This window comes from Homo sapiens, chromosome 5 (assembly GCF_000001405.40).
Source record: "Homo sapiens chromosome 5, GRCh38.p14 Primary Assembly".
In the NCBI taxonomy this organism is placed as follows: domain Eukaryota; kingdom Metazoa; phylum Chordata; class Mammalia; order Primates; family Hominidae; genus Homo; species Homo sapiens.
This window is the reverse complement of record NC_000005.10, coordinates 146,459,630-146,484,310: the sequence shown is the minus strand read 5'-3', so window position 1 is coordinate 146,484,310 and position 24,681 is coordinate 146,459,630. Positions and strand designations below refer to the sequence as shown.

The 24,681-nt window shown below is 34.9% G+C and overlaps 1 protein-coding gene across 76 annotated transcripts in view; it reads right to left on the bottom strand.

The window, feature by feature from the left end:
• TCERG1 (transcription elongation regulator 1) overlaps positions 1-24,681 on the bottom strand; it is a 64,632-nt gene that overhangs the window by 27,651 nt on the left and 12,300 nt on the right. For 14 of the 76 annotated variants that reach the window (NR_174453.1, NR_174410.1, NR_174409.1 and 11 more), the window contains 9 exons: positions 20,518-20,760; positions 14,567-14,767; positions 13,563-13,675; positions 12,735-12,823; positions 5,658-5,818; positions 4,400-4,456; positions 4,217-4,283; positions 1,584-1,719; positions 682-771 (listed from right to left, as the gene is read on the bottom strand). Coding sequence is in view for 23 of the 76 variants with exons in the window: in NM_001400092.1 (NP_001387021.1) it covers positions 682-771; positions 1,584-1,719; positions 4,217-4,283; positions 4,400-4,456; positions 5,658-5,818; positions 12,735-12,823; positions 13,563-13,675; positions 14,567-14,767; positions 20,518-20,760 (1,157 nt within the window). In the remaining 53 variants the exon portion in view is untranslated. Of the gene's footprint in view, positions 1-681; positions 4,284-4,399; positions 4,457-5,657; positions 5,819-12,734; positions 12,824-13,562; positions 13,676-14,566; positions 14,768-15,907; positions 15,971-20,517; positions 20,761-22,214; positions 22,294-24,681 lie in introns of those variants that run through there. The other 62 variants (XR_001741983.3, NR_174434.1, XM_017008978.3 and 59 more) reach the window with 28 other exon arrangements.

Below are 24,681 nucleotides of genomic sequence, written 5' to 3'. Positions count from 1 at the left end.
AATCACGAAATGATATGTGTCACTGAATCATCATGGGAATAAAAAGCAACACTAATTCAACAGGGACCCTTAAGTATCCACTGTTTTTCTGAGTTTATGATGGAAACAGATATTTTAACAGATGCTACTTAGATGTGAACTTTGTATATGCAGTTGTGTATAAGACATAAACCTATGTTCAAGTACTATCTACAGGACACACACACACATATATATGTACATACTGACACATAATGGTCAAGAAGGCTGTTCAGTATTCAATAATAAACCAGTGTTCAACGGTAGTCATATCTATTAGTTGGGATTACAGTAGCTTTTTTATCCTTTTTACTCATCTGTATTTTGCTATTTTTCTACTCTAAATTTGCATCATTGGCCCAAACAAGCAAATTAGTAAATGCATTTGAAATCAATTTTAAAACCATACTACACATAACCTAGGTATATGAGGCATAAGGACAAAATGTTTACAAGACAACAGCCATGCTCATAAGGGCAAAAATATCCAAGAATTTTGAAGTAGAAATGTCCACACACAGACACATAATATGTTCTAAGATGCAAGACTATATTTTTGAAATGCTGTATCAGAAAAAAAAGGGATGGTACTTTATTCCTTATAATTTAAAAACTATGTTGGCAAGAGATATACATTCTTAGTTAATGCCATTTTCCTTTTACCTGTTTTCTCTCTTTAGGATTGAGAAGTAAGTACCGGGGATCAAAAACTATCTTGTGCAACTCCTTCTCCCACGTTGAAAAAGCAGACACCTTTAAAATAAAAACGTATTGCCTCATAATTAAGTCTCCTCTAAAAATATAAAGGTCATAATTTTGCTTGAAATCTACAGGATATCTGTTTATAAAGGAGACATAAAACCATACTGAAGTTTCCATCACTAATAAATGACAAGCAGTGGGAGGCTAGCAATAGCAAATTTCCACACTAATTGGCTCTGAACATTCCTATATTATATAGAAATAACAGACACTTAATTACTCATTAAAATAACTACTACTGTGTGACATTTTAAAAATCAGTACATCAGAAAAAGCCTTGAAGATTTATATTTTGATTTCTCATGCTTGCTCCAATCTTGTGAACAATGTTGTGATTTAAAATTGAACAATTTTACTTATTCAAATGAATCTGTGAATATAACCAAATAGTTGAAATCCCTTCTCAATTAAATTGCAAATAATAATATCACAAAGTATCAGTTCTCCTTTAACAAAAGCCATTCTCAAGATATTAAAGGAAGAATAATCATATATACCTTACCTATCCCAAGCAGTCCGCCATTCTGTAATGTTAATACTCGTCTTATATTACTCACCACAATTTAATGACCCAATAAATGTTAAGTGTTATTTGTACTTAAAAGGACAGTAAAATGGCATTTAGTTAAATATGATAAGATTAGCCAAGAAAAAGGCTGTTGCAAAAAATGTACAGTAATTTTAAAAATCCCCTTATCCCCCCCCATAACATGAGCACTAACCTTAGATTTGACCTTTTAGCAAGACATATTTATATTACTTATACAAAACAGAAATATCTCCCCCAAAGATTGTTTTCTGACCCCTCTCTCTAGCAGCATGTCCTTGAACTGCTTCATTCGAGCCTCCAGAGGGACAATGGCCCTTTCTCGGGCAGCTTTAATTTCAGCTTCCATGGCAGCTTCTTTCTCTGAGTCAATGTCTTTATTATCGTCTCTCCTATAAAAAATAAAATATAAGACATCAACTGACAAAATATTAATTCTCAGATCTTATTAGAAATCTTAAAATCAAAGGAATTTTCAAGACTCACTACTGAGCAGCATATTTTTGGCAAAAACAAATTATATTGAGGGTTTCAAATGAACTCTAAGGGATAAATAACTTTCATAATAACAAAATTAAAATGGGCTTCTAATGATTTACAATGGCTACATTATTAGGAAAAAAATACACCTTTAATGGGCTGTCTCTCCCTGACACTGGTTAATAACATAAAAAGGGAGCAACCTTACTTAAAAAAAAAAAAGTTTAACACTGCAGTAAACCTCTATGTGTCAGAATCAAACAGCACAAAATATAATTTTTTTAGTTCTTGAAATATAGAAAAAACAGTATTTTCCAAAATGTTTTACATTATAAACACATAAAATATTTTGTAAAATCTAATAAAAATTGGTATTAAGTGGTATAATGTTTTAGTAATCTCAAACATTCATTTTAAAAATAAAACTAAAATATCTGCAATCTTGGCCAAGTGAATATGTAAGATATATACCTTACCTACCTGACTTTTTATTACTCACTTTCTGGGTGATAAGTTGAGATTTAAGTTGAAGGACAGGTCCCAGAGAGCAACATGGGCCCAGGAGTAGTTAGGTGGAATTAGAACTGTTCATCAATGACTAAACTACTTCTTGTTCCTCCAAAAATGCACCTCAGGTGTAAGGGCAACCCTGTTTCTGTGTGGTACTCAAGTGAAATTGTAAACATGGAATCACGGCACCTCTCAAATATATGCACTATGAAAAAGGCCCATTCACGTAAATAATCCAAAAAAGTATGTAATTCAATAATATCTGGGTGTATTTTAGCAGATCTTCCTTCTTAAATATGATCTGCTAAGTATATTTTAAAAATTGGCTCTTATTCCCTATACAAACTTAAGGGAATTAGGAAAACAGAACATGTGGAAATTCAAAAGCATGCTATACAGGAAACTGTAGGTAGCCCCAGAGATTTAAATGGAACTAAGGCTAACCCACAAATGCAAGTGAGAGGTACTTAGCAACTTAGGCAATGAATCAAAAGAAATAGAAGACATAGTCCGTGACCTGCAGGAACTTAGCGAGATAGTCTGTGACCTAAGATATGCACAAAACAAACAGGTAAAAGCAATTTGCCAAACAATATACCCTCTTATAATAATAATTTTAAAACTATTTAAATAGTTAGAGTTAAAAGACATCCAAGAAGTAACTAATAAAAACAAATAACCTTTATAGAACTATACTAAATGAAAATGTCACAATACAAACTATCACTATCTATCTCAATAAAGGAAATAAAAGAAAAACTAAGCCAGGAAAAACAGGCTTTTAGCTTTGTACCTAAATAGAGAAGCTCGGGCAATCCACATAAAGGACTTCTTTGACATTCTCCTGATAAAAGCAGTTAAAAACCTTACAGAGTTGTCTATAAGAACAAACAATTAAAAACAACCTAAAAGTTTAACATCGTAGGAACATCCAAAATTATGGTACATAAACAGAATGAATACAGTCATTTATAATAATTAACAAAACAAATGTCTTATTCTAGGTTTTTTTTTTTTAAAAAAAAAGCACAAAATCAGTTAATCACAACTAATAAAAATTACATTTGGTCAAGAACTAAAAAGTCAATTGCAAAAATGAGAATAGCTATGTTACGCTGATAAATTATGAGTGATTCTTTCATATCTTTTATGTTGTTGCCAATAAAGAAATTTTTTTTAAAAGAACTACCCTTTATAGGGGTTGTCCTACTGATTTCTTTGCCATAATTTGGCTGCATTCAATCTGTCCTTTTCAGATAAGGACTACAATTAACCAGTTCCTGTTAATGTCTTCAAACTTTCCTTTTTGCTGCTAAATAATGGTCCCATTCCCCATACATGCATACCCTCTACCCCATCCTTCCCCCCGCCATAACATTTACATTTTACCCAACTCTAGAGCACTGGCCAAGCTAATGCCTCTACTTCTTAGCAGTCTCTTTCTCGCAGAGCACTTCCTAAGCTTATGGGTTCTCTCCTCACCAAGGAGTTAATGACCAGACTCAAGGACTAGGTAAGTCGTAAGATAACCATATAAAGAGGGAGAAGTCTGTGTCTGTTTTTATGAGATCTCTGGAATGGTATCCATTGGGGTCTAAATGAGGGAGGAAACTAACTTTTCATAAAATTGAGACCTAATAAATTTCCAAAAAGAATTAATTCCAAAACTATCATTTGGAGTCATAATACATATATGAATACCCAAATCTTCTACAAATCTAGCAAAAGAAGGGACACATTTTCTACAATGAAAAACAAAGCTATTTATTATCAGGCCTAAGAGAGCAATCATGCCTCCTAACAACATTCACATTACCTGTCCCTTCCAATCACAAATTATTACCAAATCGACTTTTAAAAGATATAATCTACCTCAATCAAATCGTATGTATTACTTACTTCCGTTTTTTTGCTTTAACAGGCTCATCTTCATTAATTTCTTCCATTAATTCTTGTTCCTCTTTAACTATAAGACAAAATTTAATTAAAATATTTAGGAATGAATCCTTCTGCTAATCACTACCAGAACACTTGCTTTAATAGTATTAAAAAGAAGCTGCAATTTATGGTTAGTTCACTCACTTGCACTCATAGAGAATTGCCACTTTTGGATCGACAGCATTGTCGGAGTTGGGTGCCCTGGCAAAAACATTTCAAATATTGTTACAAAGTCATTTGCATATATTTCACAAACTTTTCTTTTTAAAAATTACTGTTTACATAATATATTCACCTCTTAATATTCATCCCTTTATAAAACATTAAACAAAGCATAATTCTACACTTCCTCTATTTATCCTCCCTTTACATTAAATTTAATTCATTTTGAAATGTTTCTTGCCCAAACCTTAAATTTACAAATATATAAAATAAAGCTTTCTTGATTCAGGATTTACAGTACCTTTTAACAATGCACGTTAATGTATTTATCAAATGAATGAATCAAATATTTAAAAACAAATTCACGAAAAACAAAAGAAAATCACATATTGTTTCAACATCATTCAATACCATAGTTATAAAGTATTATTATCATACCTATAAAACAAGTATTGCTGAAGGTGAGCCTAGTACCTTCAGCACTAGATAGGCAAAGCGGCACTGACTCAGAAATTACTTATAATTCAGCATATATATAATGCATGAAAATGTCTCAATGACTATAAATGATACACACTAGGATTTATTTCATTAGAAGCATTAAATAATTCATTTATCTTGCTTCTATACCACTTGCGGGCCACAGTTCTATAAAAACACAATCATATCAACACAAGGGCAAATTACCAATAAGAAATACACAACAAAAATTACGTACAAATATCTGTACTCAATATATTAGTATGCCCTCTGAATATGAGATAGATTAAAAGATAATCTCTTAGTAAGGTTTAGGTGTCTAGTCTCAGGAATATAAGGAGCTTACCATCTAATTCAAAAGATTGAGATTTTGTATTTTTAAAAAATTTGTAATGTATTATTTCAAGAAATATATTACTAGTCACAAAAGGTGCTAAAAGGCCCACCGAGGAGCATTTTAGTAGTATTGATAAGCACTAAGCAAGCAGCAACACTACCAACCATATCTTGGACTAACTGAAAATCTTGAGTAGGACAATAAATTAAAGACACACATATTTTACAAAGCACAATCTTATCCAAATTCTCTCCATATTTTTAATCTCTATTATTTCATTCAAACTAGGATAGCAGTCTATTTTTTTCGAATGCTTCTTATATTCTTTGAAAAATAAAGGGTTTCTAAATGCCTTCCACATTTTCTATCAAAATATGAAAAGAATGTTAAAATCAGTGGATAAATTCCTAATTTAAAACTTACTTAGTTTCTTCAATTCCTCCATTCCTTTTTTATGAGGGGGCTCCTGAATAATTTTGTCAACATCTGCCCTGCCAATCAGATCATCAGGTCGGTCCCACATAGAAAGACGAGTGGTGGGATTATAAAAGAAGACCCGCTCATCACCAGTCCAAACGACACACCTAAGAATTGATGCAAAATATCATTCTCTTATGTTACAGAACATATTTTACAGCTAGGACTTCTTTCAGCCTGTTACAAGTAGGGAGATGAGGGTACTGAAGAACGACATGTTCTTATTACCAATAGTTATTTACAGAGAACCAAACATGGTTTTTACAAGATAACTGAATGACTCAAGCAAAAATAACAGATCAACATATTAACTGAGAAAACCAAGAAATGCAAAGCAATTTGTGATCAGAGATTAAAATGCTTAGGAATTTGGTTTGGCACACTCAATTTGAGAGTACTAAATTTTAAACTATCAGAAAGAATGAGTTTAATGGCAACAATAATGCTATTAAGCAGTTCTAAAGCTAAAGAACAGACATAGCATCCTAGCTACTATAGTTCTTAATATTTCTTAACAAACCAAAACTACATACTGAAATGCAACCTTCTATGAAGACTTTAAGATCTAATTATATCTAAAATAAAAAGTAAAGGGAAGGCCCAGCACGGTGGCTCAGGCCTGTAATTCTAACACTTTGGGAGGCCAAAGCAGGAGGATCACTTGAGCTCAGGAGTTTGAGACCAGCCTGGGCAACATGGTGAAAGGCCATCTCTACAAAAAATATTAATTAAAAAAATTAGCTGGATGTGATTGCACGAGCTTGTAGACCCAGCTACTCAGGGCTGAGGTGGGAGGATCACCTGAGCCCGGGAGGTCAAGGCTGCAGTAAGTTGTGATCGCACCACTGCACTCCAGCCTGAGCAATAAAGTGAGACCCAGTCTCAAAAAAAAAAAAAAAAAAAAAAAGTAAAGTACCAATTGCACTAGGGCATCATACACTGCAGCCCACTACAAGCACTACAAGCCATTGGTCCTGTTAATTACAGTTAGAAAACTCAAAGGAAAAAAAAAACCACAACTACATTCAGACTCTGTATAGTATAGTCTTAATGAATAAACAGAAAGCAATACGGAGGACAGCCAAAATTTAGAGAAACAACTGCAAGGGAGTAAATCTCCCATTTCACCCACCTCGTAGCTCTGCCCTGAGGGTGATCTCTGGTTGCAGAGTGGCATGGTTGCAGTAGCATGGCAGCTAAAACCCCAACAGAAACTAAGTCTATATGACCTGATCATCAAATTAATCAACAGTTGTCAAGTCCAAGGTAACTTACAAGTTGAAATGATCAGACTAAGCCTCCTATGTTAAGATAGTAAAAAACTTTGAAGCAACAATAACTATACCTCCCTGAGATAAAGAAAAACACACTTAAAATAAATGAAAAGAGTTCAGTAATGAAATATAAACTACAAAAAAAAAACCAAAAGGAAAATTTAGAAATTAAAAATAACTGAAATTAAATTTCACTGGATTGGCTCAAGACAGAATGGAGACGCCAGGAAACAATCAGTGAATTAGAAGATGGATCAGCTGGGCATGGTGGCTCACGCCCGTACTTCTCACACCTGCACTTTGAGATGCTGAGGTGCGAGGATCACTCGAAGCCAGCAGTTTGAAACCTGCCTGGGAAACAAAGTGAGACCCTCCATCTCTACAAAAAATAAAAAATTTTAAATTATCCAGGCGTGATGGCATGCACCTGTAGTCCCACCTACCCAGGAGGCAGGAGGCTGGGGCAGTGAGCTATGATCGTGCCACTGTACTCCAGCCTGGGTGACAGAGCAAGACCCTGTCACAAAAAAATAAAATAAAAAATCAATAATTAACTATCTCATCTGAAGAACAGAGGAGGTGGGGACGGACCCCCAAGTCCGAAAATTAATGAGGACCACGAAGCTCCAAATTGAGGGGGTTTGGAGTTGGTTACTAGCTTTTCATGTACAATACTCAAACAGAGAAACCACAACCCAGGAATATATTCTTGGAATACAGACTGTTTTTATAACTTTGAAACCAAGTAAATATTTTCCATAATTATTTTTTTTAAATGAGCCTGTGTAACAGTCAGTGGAATAATTATATAGAAATTATACAGAAAACAACTATTCCAAGTGCCTTTAAAACACAGTAATTTGATTATACATTCCTAGAGCAACAACAAAAACTATCTTCAGTAATTATATTGTTAGTGATAGTTTTGGTATTGTTACTCAGTGACATGTCTGAGAAAAGCAAATGAGTAATTAGGTCACTATCATTGAGAAACAGTATTTTCAGCAAGAAATGAGATACTGAAGATAGATGATGAGGTTCAATAAAAATCTTCAGGTAGATCTAAATGGCAAGTAATGGTATCAACTCATGCTGTATCTTTGAATGTGTATATCTTCCAGCTGGGTCTGCCAAAGAAGTCTAAAAATAATGACTAATTCAGTTGCAAACTATCCACTTCCCACAAAAGTGCCAAGAGCCCCCTGCAGAAATGGCTCAGTCTAGGTCTGAGACAGGAAATATATACAAGATAAGCCTAGAACATCTTGTCACAGCAGAAAGCAGGGAAGCTACAGAGGATTTTAACAAAAAAAAACCTAAAAAGTTAGCGCAAGAGGCTTCTCCTGACCAAAGATGAGACAATTTTAAACATCAATAAGGATAAAAACTGCAATAGATTAAAAACATAGAAAATATATTTAAACCTATGAATAATACTCAAACCAACTCACTATTCTGAAAACTGCTAAGCCCTTCCCTTCCTATACAATTTGTACCTCTAAGTGACCAATGGTGATAAGGGGAAGTATCTCTCTATAAGCATCCCAGTTAATGAAAAGGGAATAAAAGAAATACATTACCACTACTTTCAACCCTTAACACAGTTATGCCTAGTGTTCCATTATTGGAACGCTAAGCTTGTGGGATTTATATCCTACTGCTCAAGGTCATTGCCAAGGTCTGATTTTTCACAAAAAAAATTTGCAACCTTCAGCATAAATGGGTTAATGATTTAATCGGGTTAATGATTTAATCAATCTTGGCCAGAGTTTTTCAATCTTACACTGCTGACATATTGGGCTAGGTAAGTAATTCTTGTTGGGAGCAGTCCAGTGCATAATAGGATGTTTAGAGCATCCCTAGCATCTATCTGCTAGATGCCACTAACACCCTCCAAGTTTTGACAACCAAAAATTGTCTCCAGGCATTGCCAAACGTCCACTAGGGGCAAAATTACTCCTAGTTGAAAACATCTGATCTACACAATAATAATCATCACTTATGAACTAGGCTTGCCAAAAAGATTAAATCCGAATCTGATCACACTTCTAGACCTGCTTGCCTGTCTGTAGGAAATTCAGGAATGGAGGATCCTATTAGACAGTACCATGGGGACAAATCCAGACTTGGGAACACTATAGGAAAAACATTTATTTCTTCAATAACAAAAACAAGGAAAAGAAGTCAGAAGGGAACCTATAGATTACAAGACTTCAGAAACAAGCCAAATCATTGCAATGTGTGGATTGTATATAGATTAAATAAGTTGGAGCAGGAACAGGAAATGAAGCACAGATGTGGCAAAAGGAAGAAAAGGGAAAAACAAGATAAGAGAAAAAAAGAAGTAGACAGGCGTACCTCGGATATTGTGGGTTCAGCTCCAGACCAACAAAATACAGCAAATATTGCAATAAAGTAAATCTCAAAATTTTTGTATCCCACCATATACAAAAGTTATATTTACATCATGCTGTAGTCTATTTAGTGTGCAACATTATGTCCAAAAGAACCAATGTACATACTATAATTTAAAAATACTTTATTGCTAAAAAAATGCTATCATCTGAGCTTTCAGGGCATCATAATGTTTTTGCTGGTGGAGGGTCTTGCCTCAATCTCTTGATGGCTGAACACTCATGAGGCTGGTGGTTGCTGATGACTGGGGTAGCTGTGGCAATTTCTTAAAATAAGACAAATATGAAGTTTTCTATATCAATTGACTCCCCCTTTCGCAAAAGATTTCTCTGTAGCATGCAATGCTGTTTGATAGCATTTTACCTACAGTACAGCTTCCTTAAAGTTTGGCATCAATCAAAATGGAAGCCCTGCTGCTGCTTTATCCACCAAGTTTATGTAATATTCTAAATCCCTTATTATTTCAACAATGTTCATGGCATCTTCACCAGTAGATTCTATCTGAAGAATTCACTTTCTTTGCTCATACATAAGAAGCAACTCCTGACCCATTACAGTTTTCTCATAAAATTGCAGCAATTCTGGCTCATCTTCAGGCTCATTTCTAATACTAGTTCTCTTGCTATTTCCATCACATCTGCAGTGACTTCCTTCACTGAAGTCTTCAGTTCCTCAAAATCATCCATGAGAGTTGGTATCAACTTCCTCCAAACTCCTGTTAATGTTAATATCTGGACCTCCTCCCATGAATCACCAGTGTTCTTAATGGCATCTACAATGGTGAATTGTTTACAGAAGGTGTTCTATTGACTTTGCCCAGATCCACCAGAGGAATCACAATCTACGGCAGCTATAGCCTGATGAAATCACAATCTATGGCAGCTATAGCCAGATCCACCAGAGGAATCACAATCTATGGCAGCTATAGCCTTATTACTTTCAGTAATAAGACTTGAAAGTCAAAATGACTCCTTGATCCATGGGCTGCAGACTGGATGTTGTTAGCGGCATGAAAACACCATTCATCTCCTTGTACATTTCCATCACAGCTCTTGGGTGAAGAGGTGCTTTGTCAATGAACAGCAATATTTTGAGGAAAAAAACAAACTTCTTTCTGAGCAGTAAGTCTCAACAGTGGGCTTAACTCAGTAAACCATGCTATCAACAGATATGCTGTTATCCAGGCTCTGCTGTTCCATTTATAAAGCACAAGCAGAGTAGATTTAACGTCATTCTCAAGGGCCCTAGGATTTTCAAAATGGTAAATGAGCAGTGGCTTCAACTTAAAGTCACCAGAGAGATGGTGAGAGTCAGCCCATCCTTTGAAGCCAAGCGGTGACTTCTCTCTAGCTATCAAAGTCCTGGGATGGCATGTTCTCCCAATAGAAGGCTGTTTCGTCTACACTGAAAATCTCTTGTTTAGTGTAATTGCCCTCATCGATAACCTTAACTTGATCTTCTGGATAACTTGCTACAGCTTCTACATCAGCACGTGCTGCTTCCTCTTGCACTTATGTTATGGAGATGGCTTCTTACTTAAATCTCATGTACCAACCTCTACTAGCTTCCAACTCTTCTTCTGCAGCTTTCTCACCACTCTCAGCCTTCACAGAACTGAGGGCAGGTAGGGCATCTCTTGTGGATTAGGTTTTGGCTTAATGAAATGTTGTAGCTGGTTTGATCATCTATCCAGACCACTCAAACTTTCTCCATTATCAGGAATAAGGTTCTTATCATTCTTATGTTCACATGAATAGCACTTTTCATTTCCTTCTTTTGCATTCACAACTTGGCTATTTAGCCCAAAAGGCCTAGCTTTCAGCCTATCTCGGCTTTTGACATGCCTTCCTTACTAAGCTTAATCATGTTTAGTTTTTGACTTAAAGTGAGAGGTATGTAGCTGGGCATGGTGGCTCATGCCTGTAATCCCAGCACTTTGGGAGGCCAAGGTGGGCGGATCACGAGGTCAGGAGATCGAGACCATCCTGGCTAATACGGTGAAACCCCATCTCTACTAAAAATGCAAAAAATTAGCCAGGCGTGGTGGCGTGTAACTATAATCCCAGCTATTTGGGAAGCTGAGACAGAAGAATCGCTTGAACCCAGGAGGCGGAAGTTGCAGTGAACCAAGATCGCACCACTGCACTCCAGCCTGGGCGACAGAGCAAGACTCCGTCTCAAAACACACACACACACACACACACACACAAAGTGAGAGGTATGTGACTCTTCCTTTCACTTGAACACTTTGAGGGCATTATAGGGCTACTAATTGGCCTAATTTCAATATTGTTGTGTCTCAGGGAAAATGGACACCCGAGGAGAGGAAGAGAGATGGGGAACAGCCGGTCGGTGGAACAGTTAGATCACACACGTTTATCAATTAGGTTCACCATCTTACATGGGTGTGGTTTGTGGCACCCCAAAACAATTACAACAGTAACATAAAAGATCACTGATCGCAGATCACTGTAACAGATATAAAAATAATGAAAAAGTTTGAAATATCCCAAGAATTACCAAAATGTAACACCGAAACACAAAATGAGCACATGCTGTTGAAAAAATGAAACCAAGAGGCATGTTAGATACAGGGTTGCCACAAAACTTTCAATTTTTAAAAACACAGTATCTATGAAGCACAAGATAGTGGAGCACTATAAAATGAGGTATGCCATACTTAGATTGAAAGACATAATTTTACACAATTCTATAAATGTAATCGCATAGTGAGTAAACATGCAAAAACAAATTTAAAATATTTTAAACAAAAAGTAGATTCAGGATCTCACAGTGGTCATGTCTATAATTATGAAGAATACACATTAATGGAGAGTAGTACTAGGAAGACACTTGTAGTAATTGAACTTCAGTTTTGAATAACTCAAATACAACAAAGGCCAAAATATTCAGTAGATAAAAACATATTTGACATACACTTTTTAAAGTACTTTTTCTTTCTACAAAATAAACCATGTAACAATCAAGTATGATTTTTAAAAATTACTACTTGAGGCCGGGCACGGTGGCTCACACCTGTAATCCCAGCACTTTGGGAGGCCGAGGCGGGCGGATCACGAGGTCAAGAGATCAAGACCATCCTGGCCAACATGGTGAAACCCCGTCTCTACTAAAAATACAAAAATCAGCTGGGCATGGTGGCGTGTGCCTGTAGTCCCAGCTATTCGGGAAGCTGAGGCAGGAGAATCGCTTGAACTAGGGAGGTGGAGGTTGCAGTGAGCCCAGATCGTGCCACTGCACTCCAGCCCTGGTGACAGAGTGAGACTCCGTCTCAAAAAAAAAAAAAAAATTACTACTTGAGCCAAATACATACCATGGAGTACCAGGAATAGGAGCAGTAGCAACTGGCTTTGCCTTCTGGGCAGCCTTTTCTTCTTCAGTCATCTCCTCTTCTTTGGGCTCCTACAAGAAATGATATTACTCTAATTAGTATCACATTAACAATACCTGAATGTTCCACAAAAACATGAAGGCAAACAGCTCAAAGTGCAATCAACACAAAATCTGCTGCTAGAATAAGAGGAGACTCTGAGTAGGAAGAAAGTTCTAAATCCTCATCCCCCAGAAAGAGCTGAATTTCACAATAGCAGAACCCAGCAGCAGCAGCTTGTCCTATCTTATAGACTCACTAACCATGTGCTTAGGAGCAGATATGGAGAACTACAGTACATACCTCTTCATTTAAGGTTGTTTCTTATTTCTGCTAGCTTTCCTGCTACTGAAACACGACTACCACTGATCCTTCACTGAATAAAAAACTCTTTTAGTGCTATACATGGATCATGCTATGCAAGAACACAACAGCAGAAAGGACAGATAAAATATATCTAACATTCCCCAAGTAAGAAGTTACACTTATAATTTTAACAAATACCACTCAGTTTATAAGTCAGAAGGTTAGAGATCAGGTCCAAGCTCTGGTCCAAGGCCCTGTCTTTCTATGGATCTCAGTTTAGTACAAGAAGTAATTTAATGACACTTTCAAAGAAAAAACTGAATTAAGAACTTGCAAGAATCCTAAAATTTCAGAGATCAAATTTATAACAATTATTTTTAAATCTATCCAATAGATACTCAGATACAAGTAAGCTGTAGGAAACAATTAATGTGGCTCCCAGGTTAACAGGTCATGGCCCTTTACCTCCTTTATCTCCTTTATAGGCTCTTCTTTAGGATCCTCCTCCTCCGTCTCCATTGGCAGAGGCTCTTCAGAGGGTTCTTTAATTGGCTCTTTAATCTTCTCTTCTAACTTTTCTATGAAAAAAATTAAGATAATGTCACTCAAAGGTTTTGACGTAATTTTCTAAGAACTTTCAGAGAATAAGCCATTAAGATATTCCATTCCCAAGTATTAACCATGAAGATAAAATGTCTTTCCTTATATCTTTGATTTGAATCTTATGTAATGCACAACTTCAAATACCTTGCTATACCAATCAGGTAACTATCTGATTTGAAGATGACCTACTGACTTCGAAGGCACATTAAATCTTTCAGGTCATTCATATATCATTTGTAGCAATCATTCATTTTGCTAAAAGGGATAAGATACTAAGATACTTAGGAATAGAAAAGGGGGTTTGGTGAGCTGGGCACAATGACACATACCTATAATCCTCAGCTACCTGGGAAGCTGAGGCAGAAGGATTGCTTAAGCCCAGGAGTTCAAGACCAGCCTGGGCAACACAGTGAGGCTCTGTCTCAAATTTTAAAAACAACAATAATAATAGCAGCTTGTGATATAGAAAATTATGAATCTTCTACATCTAAGACCCTAAGGGCCTAAATTTTTTTCTTCAGAACACATATAAAAAACACATTCCTTCCTGATCTGTATTATCAATCTCAATGATGATTACAATAATTATGCAATATAATTAGAAAATTCCTAACAGTAAAAATATGTACATACATATGTACGTACATATAACCATTTCTCCAGATGGAAAAAAATGATGACAAACATGTAAGTAGAACTAGTTTTTAAAATAAATATTTATCAATTCAGTAAAAATAAACAATCCAATGACTGTGTAATTAGAAAATCCCTCAAATATGTTAAAAAGAAATTAACTCAGAATTTCAAATACCATTCTACTTATTACAGTTTATACTACTTTCCAAGTCATTAAAACCACTATATACCTTTTTCCTTTAGTTCTTGGGGTTTTTCCCAGGTTGATTCTAATGTTCTATTATTATAATAATATGTCTTCCCATCTGCTGTTTTATATTCAGTCCATTCAGAAACTGCTGTTGCTCCAGCTAAGGTAGCAGGTGAAGCTGCAATAGCAACCTGGGGATGTATCATGGGTACGATAGGAGGGGCCATTCCTGGCAATACACCTAAAAAAAGAATAATAAAAAATTAGATCCAAGTATCAAACCGCAATACAAAATAAAACTCTAAAATATGAGCTAAATCTTTCTATTAAATATTAATAAATGAATGGACCAGTTGGAACAAAACAAAAATCATATAAAAAGGTGACATAAAAATACCACTTAATTCTATTTCCCTGGATTTTTAGTTCTAATGCCTAAACTCAATTAGACACAGAAATTCAACCCTTAAAAACAGTCAGAAATTTGGATCTCACCTATGACAAAGTCTTAACATAATAAATATTTAAAAACATGGTATATTCTCTACTTATGAATAGAAATCTATTTTTATGAAGATAATTTATCAAATTCTAATGAAGACAACAAACATATTTACTACACATATTTCCTTAGGCAAAATTATTTTTAATTTTAAGGTAACTAAAAGGGTATGAATATTCTCAGTTTTATAGCAAATGACTGAGTTTATCGACTCTAAATGATTAACTCAAATATCCTTATACCCTTTGTTTACTCTTTTCCTAAGAGAAAGCAAAGCTCGTCTACTTTTTAGAAGACAAACCAAGATTTATATTTTTTACAAGACAGCTAAATAAGCTGGTAATATATAAATAAAATACTATTAAAATAAGGATATGTGAATCAAAACTGGAAAAAAAAAAAGTCCTCAAATCCTATACTGAATTTTAAGTTTCAGGTAGTTATCTTACTTCAATAACTTTAAAATGTAAATGTATACTATACACATGTATTCACACACATATACTCACTAGCATGCAAGCATAATCACATCACTTTACACATGGAAATGTTTTTTTATATTTAACTTAAAAACACACATCAAAAATAAAATTAAATGTTATGAATATGAGAATGAAGTTGTTTACACTTATTACATAAATTAAGATATAAAGTGATCTGACCTTATTTGTTTTTGTGAACCAAAGAAGCTAATACTACAGGCAATTGGGAAAATTAAGTGTTGGCCAAATATGACAACTGCATTTATACTGCTCATTAAAAAGAAAAATATAAAAATATCCACTCACTTGGGCAAAAAATAAATAAAAGGATAAACAACAACATTCACTACCATGCCAACTTACAGACAAAACAAACTAAGATGGTTTTAAAAATTACCGGTCTTGGTGGTAGCGACTGTCTTTACATACGGGCAGCTGACTATTTGCATCATTGCTACACCTGTAAAATGGATAAGCAAGCATACGTTGGAAAGCTGCCATTGTATGTCGGCTACCACTGGGATTCAGGGAAATAATTTACCACTACAATTTAGAATGCTATTTCCAATGAAAAAGACCAAGAATGGAGTAAAATTTCTTTCTGTTTGACATTTTGTGGGAAGTGCTGCCAAATCCAATGACACTAATTCTAAATGATACCATCAATTACCTTTTTATCAAACCAGCTCTGAACATATTGAAGGAGTCTTAAGAGTTTAAATTCAACAAAAGAAAGCCCCTTCATTACACATACATAACAAATTCTCATGTGGGACATTTTCCCACAGGACATCAAACCCATGCTGCTGTTGCTTAGATACCAGTAAAAGGCAGATGCAGCATGACACTGACAAGACACTTTCTCTATGCTGCCGCTAAGTTGAAACTACATGCAGGAGCTGAGGCATGGAGTACAACCATGCAGAAGTAAAAAAGGAATAAGCTAGGGGTGGTGAGGAGAGGAAGAAAGTAAGGTATGAGATGGATCCAAATATTCCACTGCAAATAATACTTTAAATAAAAGAAAGGCAAAGATGAAGAGGAAGGTAGCATTTCACTAATGCCAAAATATCCATGTTTAGTGCCTGCTCTATGGAACCCCATGGCCTTAGAACACTGTGGAAGCAGGCTAAAACATTAAGAAACATACAGCCCCTTTAATACCACTAATGACTACTTGGGCTGATGGCTGCAGAAACTTCTATCATTTAAGCTAACTAAAGAAGTAGTACTTGTATTAAAGAATGAAAATTATGTACAGTTCTTAGAAGAATGAAGACTCATCATGATGCATTACAATGGTGATTTTTAAAAAGGGAATGAAAAGAAAAGCTGCAAAACTAAGACTGATTAACTGAGAAAATTAAAAACTTTTAGAGGAAAAGGCCAAAGTCTGAAGAAAAGTATAGGGGCAATAATTTTTACTTTTTTATTTTTTTCAGCTGAAAAAACTAAGCTTAGTTGGTACTCTATAAAAATTAAAAATAGTAACAATAAACTATTTTCCCCACTAAAGGACAGGAAAAAAATTTCTCCTACCTCTGAGACTAAAAGTAAAATTAAACTCCTGGGTTTGTATACAATTTAACTATGTTCACACAAGCAAACAAAAATAGTGTCAATTATTGAAAAGTACCTTTATTTCTTAATTACTATTTTATATAAAGAATAAAGTAAACTTTCTATTAACTTTTAAACTAAAATAAAAACATTGGATCATGAAAGCATGTTGAATAAAGTTATATGTATAATTTTATTTTCCCTAATGTTGAAAGAAAGCAATGGAAAAATTCATTTGGTTAAGGAAGTTACAGCATGGATTAAGTTTAATCAGTATAAATACTGCCATCTGCAGGAGCACTGAACCTACTAAACTCAGCACAGGAAATTCAATTCTTATGAATATACGAACTTTACTCTCAAAGACTGTTCTCCAAAACCATCTTCCAATAAATAATTTTAACTATACAACTTATGCAGAAGAAAATCAAATCTATTCATACATAGGCTTAACCACCATTATTAAAAATCAGTTGGGCTCGCAGAACTCTTCTATTTGACTATCAACATACAGACCATATAGAAAGGTCCTGTGTTTCTTCTCATGCTAAAAAGATACACTGAAGTTTCTCTCAAAGTGATTACATGCAGATTGTGAATACTCGCAAAATAAAAATCTAAATTTTTAACCTTTTTTTTTAGAGGGAGCTTTTGTTCAATTTTCCTACAACTCTGTCCTCAAATTATTATCTAAGAAATAAGAAAATTCCACTCAGCATTTTGGATGATTCCAATGTCACAGACAGTTAAGTTTCTTAAAATTCCAGATAAGATTTTATAGTTTTAGAAGTAGAACTCCTATAATCCTAGACCCATTTATCCAAACTCCACCCCCTACTCTTGTATTTTACCTAATTCTTCCACTCCTTCCCTTTATCTTGTTTGACCATCCGTTCCTCAATCATCCTCATTAGACCCATACAATACTATTTCAAAGAGAAATTAAGCCTCCAAGACAAATTACATACAAATCCTTCCCATTCACCTTATTGCTGAATTGAATTAAAAGGCAAAAACCAGGAGACACAAATCTCATTGTTTGTAAAACCAAAGATTTGGGGAAGAAAAAAACAAGTCTTCTTTGTCCTTGTTTTTTACTAAACACCTTGTAGGACTGAGTTAAAAGGGAAAATGAGAAAAGTGAACAAATATCAATACCAAAAAGTCTTAATAAACAAACTAATATTTGATGCTAATATATCTTTTTTTTTTTTTTTTTTGAGACAGAGTTTCGCTCTTGTTGCCCAGGCTGCAGTGCAATGGCGCGATCTCGGCTCACTGCAACCTCCACCTCCCAGGTTCAAGAAATTCTCCTGCCTCAGCCTCCCGAGTAGCTGGGCATGCACCACCACGCCCGGCTAATTTTGTATTTTTAGTAGAGATGGGGTTTCTCCATGTTGAGGCTAGTCTCGAACTCCTGACCTCAGCTGATCCACCCACCTCGGCCTCCCAAAGTGCTGGGATTACAGGCGTAAGCCACCGTGCCCAGCCTAATATATCACTTTGTATGACACTCACTCTCTCCAAAGAAATCTTAGACTATCCAATTCAAGTTCTCTTCCAACTGACCCCCAAAATGTCACTAATGGCTACTGTTTATTGAATGACTTCTACTGCCAAACTTCACAGGTACTGCTTCATTTGGTGACTCAAATGGTCACCACCACCTGTCCAAATCTTTTTAATGATGGAGCAAGGATATGCTTGCTCCATATGACATCAAAATATGTCATCATATTTTGGGGAAAATATGACATCAAAATGAAGCTAGAGCCAGAGGGATTTTATTGTGAGAAACTTCTACTTTCTATAGAAATACATTTTGCTATTGTGTACCTTTCATCCATTAGTCCTAATAAGAACCTCTAAAGAAAAGCAAAAGTTGTTCAAATGACAGCCTTTCAAAATACTTCAACAACATTATCATGCTACCTCTCAATCTTCCCTCTACAAAATGAGCAACCCCAACTCCTTGAGATCACTCAGAATCCACGATCTGGTCTTAATACTGTCCTTAACCCTAAAGCAGACCAAAATTACAAAAAGAGGTTGTGACAAATATCAGGCTATTCTCCATCTATGATTTAGTTTTCCCAGAAAAATTACACATAGAGAAAAGTATCCAGCTGCTTGTCTTAAATTTAATCTAGAAAAGGGATAATCCCTAATAGTAGGGAAAACATCTTTTGTTTTCTTTTTAAATGATTTGAATTTCTTAAACACCACATAATGGGCATTTAATTATCTAACACTACATCAACAATGTATACAAGGTTTTCCAAATTAAAAAAAAAACCTGAAATTTTTGGTTTCTTTCTTGACAAGGTATATCTGAAGGTGTCCTTTTCAGAGTGGTCACAAAGAAAAAGACAACCAGTGCAATAGTGATAATTAAGATGTGTGCAAATCTAAGAAATAGCTGTATCACAACTGTATTCTTACACAGAAAGGAGTATAAGAAAGTAGCAATAAGTGGATGGAATGTGAACTTGAGAGACAAGAGGCCTAAGTTCTATTCATCTTTGCTACAAACTAGCCCTGTGAACCTGACCTCTCTAAGGTACCAATACTTTCAACTATAACACAAGGAGAATGAACCATGGATCAAGGATTAAATGTGTTTGACAAAAACTAATGCATTCAAATTTGGAATGCCCAACACTATCATTTTTAAACCCTATGGTAAGAATTCCACTCCACAATATTTCTTAATTCTTTCTCTAGTTTTAATGACTTCTCTTAAGACAATATAACACATTAATTCACCATAACAATTTAAACTTTTAAATGATGCACATTATGCTTTACTTCATAATTGTTACAAGGGAACCTTCTAGTTCCTGTTTTATATGAATTGTTTTATAGTTAAATCACTCACATTTTCTTCCCAGTATTAACATAGTTATTAAAAGCTTACTATCTGGATGTGGAGGGCACAGGCTCAAATCTCAACATCATCACTTATTAGCTATGTGACCTTGGGCAAGTAATTTAACCTGTCTGTGTACCTATCTCGTAACATGGGTTGTAAAAATTAAAGGAGTTAATGCATGTAACATGCTTACAACAGTGCACTGTATATAAATCATCCAACTTGTGTTAGCTATTGTGACGTGATTTCTCAACTTCATAAACTCAACCCTTCAAAAATATTGCATTTAGAACATTATTTACATGAAAAGATAATCATTTTTAACTCATTGAGGGCATTATCCAAAATAAGTGTAGCTTTAAATGTGGCTCTAATTTTAGGACATGTAAACAACAACAAAAAAAGGACATTTACCAAAACTTAAGAGAAAATATTGCAGTTAGCCATGAATCTTTCAAAAACGTTTCAAACAGGTGAGATTCAAGGCAAATTTCAAACGCAACAGACACATGAGAACAAACTAACTGACAATATGAAAACATAGCTGGAAAGACCATTATAATCTGTTGGTTTACCTGGAAGTGGAATTGGCATGCCAGGAAGGGGAACACGAAACGGAGGTACCATTACTGGTGGAAAAGCAGGTATTGCTGTTGTTGGCTGAGGTACTGAATGAGGAACAGCAGGAGGTAACGTCTGAGGGTGCGGCTGGGGAACGGTTTGCACAGGTGTGGCTGTAGGAGCAGGAGTTGAAACACTAACTGTAGGCGTGGCAACTGAAACAGCAGAACTTGGGGTCTGATCTTGTGTTGTGGGTGCTGATAAAAGATAAAACAAAAACATGTATCACTCCTTCATAAATCATTTTACTATATTCATTCATCATTTACACATTCAGTAATTTAAGTATTTAAGGGACCATTCTATGCACTGCAAGAAATTTGTCAAAAGGTCTTATCTTCAAGAAGCTTGAAAATACTTAAATGAAATACAAAAATGAATACAAAGTAAAATGGGATAAACATATAGGAGTAAAAATCAAGACCCAAAGAACATTTCTAACTGTGAGAGGGTATAGAAAAGTTTATATTGGGATGCTGCGCCTTGAAAAATTAAGATTTCAACAAGAAAAACAGCAGGAAGGGGTAGAAGAAAAAAATAAACCAGTGAGAAAAGTATGAATAAGGCAAAGAGTAAAGAACCAAAAGGAATTGTTTAGAAAATTGAAGGCAAGCAATTAATGAGTGAAACAGTAGGCATACCAACAAAACTAGTGAGTTGTGTGGCTGGAAAGGTAGGCCAGAAGCAGAAATTAGAAAGCCTTGAACAAAAGGCTAAGGAGTATGCCCTTAAATGGATAGGAAAAGGGCAGAACTTAGGTAAATATAGAGAAAATTATCTAGTAGAATACAAGACAAAATACATTAATGGTAGTTACCCTCTGTGAATGCCTCTTTCACATTTTACTATTAATATATACGTTTTGTTAGACTTTGAACTTTTTATAAGAATGCATTCACATTATTTATGTGATTTCATGAAGGTAAATGGGTATATAGCAAACTAAAGGTTCCTGTATGGAAGAGTAATAAACAGGTTTCATTTGATGAATTAACCTCACAGATGCATAGGAAGAAAAGAACAGAAAAAGATAAGCAAATAACTAATGACTAACTGGATATGAATGAATGGAATCAAAAACAACTCAGGTTTCTCTCATTATTTTAAAAAAATAAAATTTTTTTAAACTGAGGTTTCCATTGTGAGAGACCAGGAAAATGTGAAATTCAGGATCATTTGGGTTCTGCTAACACATTATTTTTAAATATCGAAAATAAAACATCCCATTCCTAGTAATTGCATTTAAAATCAAACTAAAAACTAAAATCCTTATTTCATACTTTTCAGTTTCAATTCTCACATGTTACAAAACAATTTTGTTATTTATTCATAACCCATCTAGTTCCAAAATAAAATTCATTTTGGTAATTCATTGGTAACAAATACTTCATCTTTTTTTGATGTAAAGAAAAAAATGTCTACCTGTATCGGACTAAGAATGAATTTGTCAAATGAAATAAAATGAAAACAGTGCTTTCCCAATCTTTATGCCAACTTTGTTCTAAACAAAAGCACACTATTTAATACAAATCACCCAATAATCCAACTGACAACAAAATCTGTCAGTATCTTTTTCTAGCTTCTAATAATGAAAAACTCACTTAGGCTGGGAAGATGTGAGCAATTTCGTACTTGTTAATGAGGGACTCACCTTGGCTAAATAGACAGCAGGGCCAAACAAGTATCTTCAGGGGCCCAGGAATGAATTGTTGGTCTAGCATAGACCTAGCCTTAGGGTACAGTATCATATTAATATAATTTTATAACAGTGTGAAAAATACAAAGTACATGCAACATTTGCCCAGTCCCATACATATACCATTTAGCATTTGTAATCTACTATACTGGCTGAAAATGTATCTGGTCATTGTTCCCAACTTCCCTGAGAAGTAGGATTTCTTCATCATTTTTCACAAACTTGCACAAAATGAGTTTATGCTCAACTGGGATTAAAATATATTCTTAATTTTTAGTCCCATTTACCCCACAGATCTATACTGTAGCTCAGAAAATTAAAATTTAAATATTATTATAGTATTCAGATAATTGCTAAAATTGTGATCCAAAGTACTATAGTCAGGAAAATAAATAAGGGCATCAAATTTCAAGTGGAAAAGAACACCAATGGAGATGACAAAAAATATTTACAACCCATTCCTCTTACTTTCCAGCACAGCATTTTCTGAATTTGATTAGCAGCCATGAGTCACGACAGGAAAAGAACAAAAGCAATAAAATAATGGGAAACTGGGAGAATGGTATCTAAGACTTCAGTGGGTAAATTCCCACTAACTTCATTTGCTAAAGTAGCTAGTGAAGCACTAGGCCTCAAAATATACTAACCCAGCCTCAGATCTTAACTAAAAAAGACAAGTGACTATATATAATAGATGGAGAAATATTAAGATTGCAGTAAGACAACACTTTATGATACTAAATCAAGTAAAATAAAAACACACACTGGAATACGTAGACAACATCAAAATTGATGTTTAAAAGCAGTAAAAAGAATATGATTTTGCTATATTATATTTCTGGGAATAAAGTCCTCCCAATCACTGAAGAGTAAAGCAAAACTGACAAACAGGACACAAGACAGCTATGAGCTTACTGACACACTACTCTGAAAACAGACATGGACTATATATAGTATGGTTAAATTATCTAGCTCATCACCTTTCCTAAAACAAAACGAAGCACTACTATTTCTCCTTTCTAAGAACGCAGGAAAGAAAATGTAAGCAACACAGAGCCTCCACATAAAACTACATTGCTTTTATTAATCCCCTTCTCCCATTACTACCACAGGTCTCCCATAAAAACTGGTAGTCTCCTGCCTTGCCACAGAGGTTTGGGAAGCACTAAACCTATAAAAAGGTAACAACCCTTAACAGACTAGCTAGTATGACTGTTATACTTTCATATCAAAATTCACCTTCACTACAAAAGCAAACAGATTTGTAAAACACTATTCATATTTTCCTGTTCAGTACATTCCCCCGCTACAAAATGTCTAAAAACCATTAAGAGGATCTTTAAAGGCTATCCCCATATTATATGTACCTTACTTGACTGCTTCAGTTGCTTTTTATCAATAAAATAAATTCAAATTTGAAGCCAATGTGAATTAATTTCTCTCTTATACGTATTTCTTACACACTAATAATTCCCAAGTCCCTGAAGTAATCACAAAAAAACCCCACATTTTTTCTTTATTCTTATCAATTATCCTGGTAGTAAAATAATACAAATTATAATCACACTGTAGGGACAGCTGTGTATCTTGAGACAAGTGCCATAACAAATAATCAAATAAAAAAATCATTATTTAAGTACTTTCGGGCTTAGTCTCAACCTGCAGAGTAAGGAGCAACATCCATATATTGATACAAAAAAAAAAAGAAAAAAGAAAAAAAGAAAGAAACCCCCCAAAAAGAAAGCAATATTGTCACATTAATAACAATCTTTTAAGCAAATTAATAGCTGTGTCCCTCTCTTAATCTCTGAAATCTGCTATTAATCGACTCTCACCTTTTCAGAAAAGATCTACTCTTTGGGCCTCTGTGAGTTTACACCTGAAAATTCTCCTGCCTTTCTGACTGCTCCCTTCTATGGCAACTCCTCAATTCACCTACTCGCATCCCAGTCTAGAAACTATTCTAAAAGAGATTACTGAGAAGCTCCTAATAAACCTCCCTTATTTCATCACCACCCAAAAAACCAACACCAAAAAAAATCCTCCAAAATACTGCATTTATACAGGCCCCCAGTGCCTGTCTCACCTATTTGCCTAGTTCTTAAGACCCTTCAAAAAAAACACCCTCTCACCTCAGAAGTTTCCTAAAAACCCATAAACTACATTTATCATTTTCCTGACCTTTATTCATGTTGCTTCTCCTACCTGAAAATCCTTTCCTTACCTGTGAACCTGCTTAAACCCTACTCCGTTTCCTTCATGATAAATACCCATGTAGTCCACCCACTCATTTATCCACTTCTCAAATTCTTACATCTTTCTCACTGTATAGTTTTGCACACCAATATCTAATTGTTTAACACGTGTTATTCTTGCCTCCTCGATTAGGAATACTGGAAACTGTAAGGTAGGGACCAAGACT